The sequence below is a fragment of the Homo sapiens genome, chromosome 1 (assembly GCF_000001405.40).
Source record: "Homo sapiens chromosome 1, GRCh38.p14 Primary Assembly".
Lineage (NCBI taxonomy): Eukaryota > Metazoa > Chordata > Mammalia > Primates > Hominidae > Homo > Homo sapiens.
Window position 1 is genome coordinate 218875264 of NC_000001.11, and position 8852 is coordinate 218884115.

The 8852-nt window shown below is 41.3% G+C and overlaps 1 pseudogene; it reads right to left on the reverse strand.

Moving 5' to 3' along the window:
* Positions 1 to 7288, reverse strand: part of NXNP1 (nucleoredoxin pseudogene 1) — a 38790-nt pseudogene extending 31502 nt beyond the window's left edge.

Here is an 8852-nt window from a genome sequence, read left to right on the forward strand (position 1 = left end):
TTACCAGAATACAGGCAACTTACAGGTAGAAAAGAGGCTATTTCCTTGAATTCCTTAACATTTAACACAGTGCCTGGCATATCCGAGATATAATAAATAGATATGATGTAATAAATACTTTTTGAATAAATAAATGAATATGTAAAACACTTTTGTAAACTTAGTCTGAGTATAGAAAAAAATCACTGTAAAATGAAATAATTCCAAAAAGCGATGAAATTACTGACTGAATTGAAAGAAAAGGAACCTTCATGTAGAAACCTGAAACATTAACGTTGGTGGAAAATACTGGGCTTGAAAGACAGGCCAGCATTTGCTCTGACAATTGGCTACTCTACTATCTTCAGTTTACTCATTTGTAAAAGGTAAGTATAATAACAATGCCAGCCTCAGAGAATTGTCACAAGAATCAGATGCGACAGTATGTGCAGATCACCTATCATTAGATCACACCAAGTCCAAAATACATATTTGTGTTCTTTCCTCCTTTGAAAAGCAATCGTATCTCTAAACCTTAATAGTTGTAAATGTTTAAAATTAATATTCTTGCTTCTATGTAGAAAAAGCTATTTTCATATGGACAACGCTTTCTTAGCAAGGCAAAAGGAGGGAAATATTGAAACAGTTTTCTCCCTAATGCTATGTGAGAAAGAAAAGACTAAAGCACAACTAGCATTCCATTTAAGCTGCACCGTCTTAAGAAACACCACATAAATGAGCAAGTTGGAGGTTAGCTAATTTATCTGATACAAACACTCCCAAATTAATTTAAGGACCTCATGTATCTAATACAGTAAAGACAGTGGATTTTTTTTTTTTTTTTGCAGCCTCTAGAAAGTTTCACTTTAGGTAATAGTTTATACCTTTAATTTATGTTGAGCTAGTTTGGTATCCTTAGCTTTCTCTCCTTAGTTATCATGTCCCTAAATGGACTAGGGATTCCTGAGAGAGTAACGAAGGATGAACAGGGAGGGCATGGAGGCAGATGCTGAGAAAGCTCCCTGGAAAGCTTAGTTCAGGAATCTAGGAGATAAATTTATATGTTGCCTGATAGTTCTAGCTCTGAAAAAATTAGGAAAACAAAGTATAATTGGGGTTACACCTTAGATTTCTACAACGTAAATTAGTTATCATCTTTATGAGTTGATTAACACTGCAATATTTCTCTGGGTTTAACACAAATATACTGTGAGATCACTCTTAAGCTGAGCCACCCACAATGTATTAGTGTGTTTGGCTCTATTAAAAGCTTAGCAAAGAAGCAATAAAAACTTAGTTTTAAGTGGTGAACAGACATAATTTTATATCTGTCATTACCATTAAGACACACCAATGTGTAATTGAGGGAAATGAATGTTACAACAGAGCAATTATGTTTTTGATACATCCTCAATTCATCAAATGATTGTATCACACTAACAAATTTCTCTTGCTTGAAGTAATAATATTCCATTTGTAAGTCTGTTACTCTGTCAGATAACATATAAACTTGTTAATAGTTGTTAAATATAAAGGAAATAGACAGTTTAAATCAGAACACCAAGCAAATATAGTCTTTTTCTTGAAGCCAAATTGGTTCACACACCCATGCCCTTCATTAATTCTGTTGATCAGCATGATTCAAATTCAGTTTTTGAAATTTAGAATTGCAACTTAATTGATACTTGCAACTATTCTCATTTCTTATTACACATGTTCAGCCTTAGCATGGATTTGAAGTTAACATTAATAAATTTAAAATGCCTGCATTTACTGTTCTCATTTTTTCCTCTCTCTTATCTTCCTAGTGATTATATTTATCATGAAGGATCAGGCACAAGAATCAAGCTCTTACAAATATACTTTGATCTCACAGAATCAAAATACATAAAATCACAAAATACATAAAATTTGTTTTTAAAAATTAATATGAAAACAAGTGAGTTTAAGAAAATACAGAGGAAATCGAATTAGCTCAATAGTTAAATTATATACTTTTTTCTGAAAAATTTACTAAAATATTTCTAAAAAGCAACCTACCACATTCTTCTGTAGTGTTTTTAATACCTTCCCTGTTCACCAGCATACACATCTATATAACAATTCTCATTCAAATACAGTGCATCTATTTGCAAATAATATAATGGTTTAGAGATGTATTAAGAGTACTAAAGCAATTCAACACGAACTATACTTTAGACATGCTTTCAACATATTTGAAAACAAGTTTGTTAGAATGAAGACATAAGTAATCAGAATAATATGTTAAATAATAACCATGATTGACAGAAGTATTAGTTTTTGAGAACTTTGCTTTAATGACTTTTGAGAAATGTTGACCTAAATGTTTCAAATATTATTAATGGTCCTAAATGATTTCTGCGTCCATCAAGTCATTTGCAACTGTGACTATTTCCACAGCTGAGCTGCTGTTCTGAGCATACCCTAAGCTGAATGGCACACATTATTTTCAACTTGACGATGGCTGCATTTTAGTATTTTTGTTGATGATCTTGTCTTGCTGTTTCTCTTACATATAGTTTGCAGGTATCATTTAGAAACTCGTTCAGAAATGTAAATGTGTCAAGTATATGCGCTATAGTGAGTATTTAAAAAGGTTTCTTCTCTGTCATTGGTGTCAAATACTGTTCATTGAAGTAGGTTACCTGGGAAAACGTTGACCATTTTGTACAGACTATTTAGGGCACTTTTGCCTAAAGACAAGAGGATGGGCTAAACCAATTGCTCAGCTTTCTTCTGGTACTATGAGCTTCCAAAACAATGACTTTTGTCGGCATCTTTTTTCCTTCCAATTTGCAGATTTTTGGTGGCATTTCTTTTCCTGGGTTATTGAATTATTGGTGATATTTGATATAGACTAGGAGTGAGTCTGCTTTGAAACACTTTGAAATGTTTTTAAACTTGCTCTGAATTCTATTAAATGTATTTACATGTGGTTTGCATGTGAAATGTGTACATCTGTTTGAGAAAAAAACTCTTAGGTGGAAAATGAGCAGGGAATAATAAGAAAGCTTTTCTAAAATCCTTCCTAAGCTTCACATGCCAAATCCAATTAATTCATTTTTGATGGGTCATGTAGGAAATTTAAGTTACACAAACAATGAAATAGAGTTTGTTTTCACAACAGCAAGTATGATTACATTAAATGTTTCTACTTGGAATAATATATAAGAATATTAGTGGTTTCATTGATTCGAAACCCAAGTTGATTATATTACTCCTTTTATGAGAGATTTATTCTTAAATGGGAAATGAACACACAGATCAGAAAGTCATTGTCTGAAAAGAAAGTGTGACTCAGCATTTCCTTGGATAATATCCTTGACTTTCAGGGCCTCTGTTACCTCATATAAAAGGCTTTGCTATCACTATACAACCTCCAACCTCTCTTCTAGCTTGAAATACTGTGATTCCAAATGTACTCCTGGGAAAATTAAAAAATAAAGTCATGCACTACTTACTACTAAGCATTCAGAATTTTTTTATATGAATGACAGAATTCACCAAAATAGTTTTTCAAGGAAAAGGAGCTAAATAATCAATAATGAGAAAAAGGTCAGCATGATGTTAATACAAAATGTTTACTTATTTATTTATTATTTATTTTTTCTAACTTTTTTTTTTTTTTTTGAGACAAGGTCTCACTCTGTTGCCTAGGCTGGAGTGCAGTGGTGAGAGCATGACTCACTGCAGCCCCAACCTCCTGGATTCAAGCAATCCTCCTGCCTCAGCCTCCCAAGTAGCTGGGAACACAGGCACACGCCACCATGTGGAGAAAATTTATTAATTTTCTGTAGAGATGGGGTTTCCCCATGTTACCCAGGCTGGTCTTCAACTCCTGGGCTCAGGCAATTCTCCCACTTCAGCCTCCCAAAGTGCTGGGATTGCAGGCATGAGCCACCACTGTGCCCAACCCAAAATATTTAATTGCCATAAAAAAATCATCTAAAGGCTGTGTTGGAAGCTTGTGATTTTTGTGACGATGTTCACTTATTTTTGGCATTTCTCAAATGATCAGTTTACAGTAATTTTCCCCTACTACCCAGGGGTGGCAAAGTGATACAGCTTCCCTTTTTCTCTAAGGTATTTTTTGGAGCAGGCAATCAGAAAAAAAGGAAATGGATCCTACTGCCTCTCCAGAAAGACCATGATCTGTTGTCACTGGTTTGTTCATCCTGTCATCTCTATCCTGAGCCTATCCTGTCACCTCTATCCTCACTACTCAAGGGTCTGGGAGAGGGATGGCTGCAGTGATGTAGGGAGATGGTCACATGCCTTTCATCTCAAACTTCTTATCCTGCCAGTTTCCCTACCCCTGGACATGATAAAGTCCCTTCATTGAAATAACAGCTAGATCTCAAAACCAGCACATTGAGGATGAATGGAGGTTGTATTTTTATAGATTGCTATCTAGCACCATACAAGGAAAAAAGTCTTACACACTTAAGCCTTCAAAAAGACAGACTCAAAAGGGAAGATCCTGAGTTGCTTCCTAGTTTCCAGATTTCTTTCTCTCTTGATCCCTTATTTACCCAAAGACCCTTGAAGGCCTCTAGTCTTGTGCACACCCTCCTTTACCCCCAATTAGGAAACCCCTGAGGGTTTTTCTCCTCTTGTCCTCTGAATTTTGACAGCCAACCTAGTACTTCAGCCTTTACTTAAATGTTAATGAAAGTTCTCTTTAGCTTGGACACTACTAATTCTCTCTTTTTTTTTTTCTTTTGGTTGATAATGTCCAAAGATGCCTGCTTTATTTCCTGTTAGGTGATTGCATTTCAGGCTGATAACATCAAATAACAATCTAATTACCAACTCATTTTGTGCCTCTGAACTACAAACCAATAATCCGATGTGGCAGGGTATAACAATGTCAACAGCTTGTGAGGGGCTGGGTTTTCCAAATAAATGATTTGGATGGGCAGAGTGCTGAGTGGAGTTGAGGGTAATCTCCAGGATTGTTTAAAGACCTTGACACCTGATTAAGTGAGGCCAAAGCCCTATGAGTCCCTAGGCCAAAGCCCTCCACCCCAAATCCTAAGAGCATAGTTGTTGCTTCTCTTTTGGTGAACTATTATTTTAGCTTTCGGTGAAAGACCTGCCAGGGCGTTCTTCCGCAGAGTGAGCATGAAGGGCCAATGGATCAGGGCTCTTTCTCTAACTCTGGCATCAGCACGCACATACAGAGACCCTGACAGCCAGAGGAACTGCCTGGCAGATCTTTCACCAAAATAAGAGGTTGATCTGCCTGGGCCTGGCAAAGGGAATCCAATGCCTACTCGTGGCTGGCACACCCCCTGCCCTCACTCCCACCCTAGGATACAGTTCCTTCTGCAGAAAATGTGAGGCTTCTGGTAATTCCTTGTCCTTTTAGTTCTGCTTTGAAAAGAAAAGGGAATGACCATAGGGTAACCAAAGTGGGTGCAGGCACCTTGGCAGAGGTCCAGCGGCCTCAGGCACAGAGCTGGATGGAGTGAGAGGTCTGTGCTGGCTAGGAGGTGCTCCTCTAAAACCTCAGGGCTGAGTTTCTTGGGAATAGATATCCAAAGGGAAGAATTTGCTAACAAAATTTCAAGATCGTGGGAGCTGTTCATATAAGCAGGCAGAAACTTGGGGAAGGTCAAGATCAAGGAAGAAAGAGAGATAAGACAGGAATGAGAAGCTCTCATCACGAGGTGCGAGCTCAGTAACAGTAAGCCATTATTATATGAACTAGTACCTTCACTAAATGGTTTTTCTCACCCTGAAAATCCCCACAAGCTTCCTTTTACATTTGAGAAACTCTTGTCCAAGAACTCATTGATAAGCTGCTGTTTTTCCCTCTGACTAAAAGAAACTATGTCACTTAGAAAAGGACTTTCTCACCAACAGCTCTAAGCCGAGGTCTATCAAGACTCTTTCTCTGCTTCGCCTCCATGTAGCTGTCACCAGGCAGTTCCTCTGGCTGTCAGGGTCTCTGTATGTGCGTGCTGATACCAGAGTCAGAGCAAGAGCCCTGATCCATTGGTCCTTCACGCTCACTCTGTGGAAGAACGCCCTGGCAAATCTTTCACCAAAAGCTGGTGACTTTGCGAAAGTGATGCAGTCCTTGTTCTGGCTAGGCTATGCCATCTCGTGATCCCAAGCAGAGTCTCCAAACATGGTGGATTCTGCTGCTACTGAGAGGACACTCACCCCAGGATGCTAGCTGGGTAGTGAATGCAGAAGCAAGGCACCACAGAGAGGTTGGACACTTGGGTTGTGTGATTCAGGACACACTGGATAAGTCGAAGGGTGGAGGGAAGAAAGGGGAGGAGAAGACTGAATTCTAAACAACATCTCAGAAGGCCGGAGCTCCATTAGATGGGCTCTGGATTGAGCTTTTCTGCCAGGAAGTTATTCACAAAGGCCTCCACAATGGCAGGGGTGATCTTCTTCCACGTCCATCACATACTCCATCAGTGATGACATGTCCAGGATAGTGAGCAAAGGGGCAGCCTCAGGCAGGTTGGTGTAACCTTGCAGGAAGTCTATCATATCATCCTCCCCAGATACAAAAAATGGAAGTGATGCTCCTCCTCTTTGGCTTTGCACTTGGCAATGATTTTCTCAGCTATTGGCTGAATCAGCTGCTTGGCTTCCTGGGACTCTCTGTCATCCTCAGAGTCTACAAAAAGGAGGAGGCAGGGGCCAGTTGAGCTGCAAAGTGTTGGAGTCAGAGAGCTTCAGCACGGGCTTGGGTGCCACGGGAACTCCCAGCAGTCCTCGTCGTTAAGCACCTCCACTCACCCCGCCACATGATCACCTCACCCTGTGGGCCCAGCACAATGAGCATGGGGAATGCCTTGGATTCTATACAGCCAGATGGGGTGCGACTTCCAGGCCTTTTCAGTATGGGGGTTAGTGAGCCAGAACCTATCACTGAAGTACTGTTTGAAGGACTCTCTGATCTGTCTTCACTGACTAAGATAATCTCAAAGTTCTGGCCTGCCTCCTTGATCTTCTAATAAGATTCCACCAGGACCTGGGTGAGGCTTTGGCAGGATGAACACCCATGTGCAGAGAAATAGGGTCCTATGTAAGGCCTTTCTGGGATGCTGCTCTCCAAGAACTGTGAGTCATTTCATAAACCTGAAAAGGTTAGGTCCCCAAGGGAATTCCATACCTTCTGGGTCATCTCAGATCACCAGCAGCCCATTCTTGCCCACAACCTTTGCAGTGGTGGCATCTACGAATATTAGCAATGGAATATTGGAAATTTGGTATTTGTTCCAAAGTTTCTGTGCTTCTCCTTGTAGGGCAGCGCCAGCCAAGTCATGTCCCACATGAAGTCCTACCACTGCCACTGGTCATCCTTGCTGCTGCTCATCACCAGCTTCTAACCAAGCTGCTCCTCCAAGAAGCCCACCATCTTGGCCCACCACAACCCCAACGCACAAGCAGGTGGGTAGGGAGGCAGCGGCGACCCCGCTTCCTCTGTCCACCTGGCCTGGACACTGCTAATTCTTAATTGCAACAAGGGTGCTGGTGGGCACTCTGATGCCAGGTTCAACTCCCTGTCATGGAGAGCTGTAGCTGATTTTGTATCTAATTACCTAAGAAGCAGCATGCACAAATGAGTGAGCATCACTTATTTGTCTTGGTAGTATATTAGTCCACTTTCACACTGCTATAAAGATACTACCTGGGACTGGGTAATTTATAAACAAAAGAGGTTTAGTTGACTCACAGTTCTGCATGGCCGGGGAGGTCTCAGCAAACTTATAATCATGGTGGAAGGCAAAGGGGAAGCAGGCACCTTCTTCACAAGGTGGCAGGAGACAGAGTGTGCAAGGAAAACTGTCATTTTTAAAACCATCATGTCTCATGAGAACCCCCTCACTATCATGAGAACAGCATGGGGGAAACCAACCCCATGATCCAATCATCTCCTACCAGGTCCCTCCCTTGACATGTGGGAATTAAAATTCCACACGAGATTTGGGTGGGGACACAGAACCAAACCATATCATTCAGCCTCTGGCCCCTCCCAAGACACATGTCGTTTTCACATTTCAAAACACAATCATGCCTTCCCAACAGTCCTCCAAAGTCTTCACTCATTCCAGAATTAACCCAAAAGTTCAAGTCCAGAGTTTCATTTGAGACGAGGCAAATCCCTTCTGCCTATGAGCCTGTAAAATCAAAAACAAGTTAGTTACTTCCAAGATACAATAGGGGTACAGGCATTGGGTAAATTTTCCCCTTCTAAATGAGATAAGTTGGCCATAGCAGAGGGATTACAAGCCCTATGCAAGCCTGAAACTTGGCAGGGCATTCATGAAATCTTAAAGCTCCAAAACAATCTCCTTGGACTCCATGCCTCACACCCAGGGCACACTGATGCAAGGGGTGGGCTCCCAAAGCCTTGGGCAGCTCTGCTCTTGTAGCTCTGCAAGGTATGACTCCTGCGGCTGCTTTCAAGAGCTGGTGTTGAGTCCTATGACTTTTCCATGTGCACAGTGCAAGCTGTTGGTGGACTTACCATTCAGGGGTCTGAAGGATGGCAGCCTTCTTCTCAGAGATCCACTAGGCAGCACCTCAGTGGCCACTCTGTGTGGGAGCTCCAACCCCACATTTCCCCTCTGAATTGCCCTAGTAGAGGTTCTCCATGAGGGTTCCGCCCCTTCAGCAGAAAACTGCCTGGACATCCAGGTGTTTCCATACATCCTCTGAAATCTAGGCGGAGGCTTCCAAAGCTCAACTATTATCTTCTGTGCACCCACAGGCCCAACACCACCTGGAAGCTGCCAAGGTTTGGGGCTTGCACCCTCTGAAGCCACAGCCCAAGCTGCATCTTGGCTCATTTTAGCCATGGCTGGAGCTGGAGTGGCTGG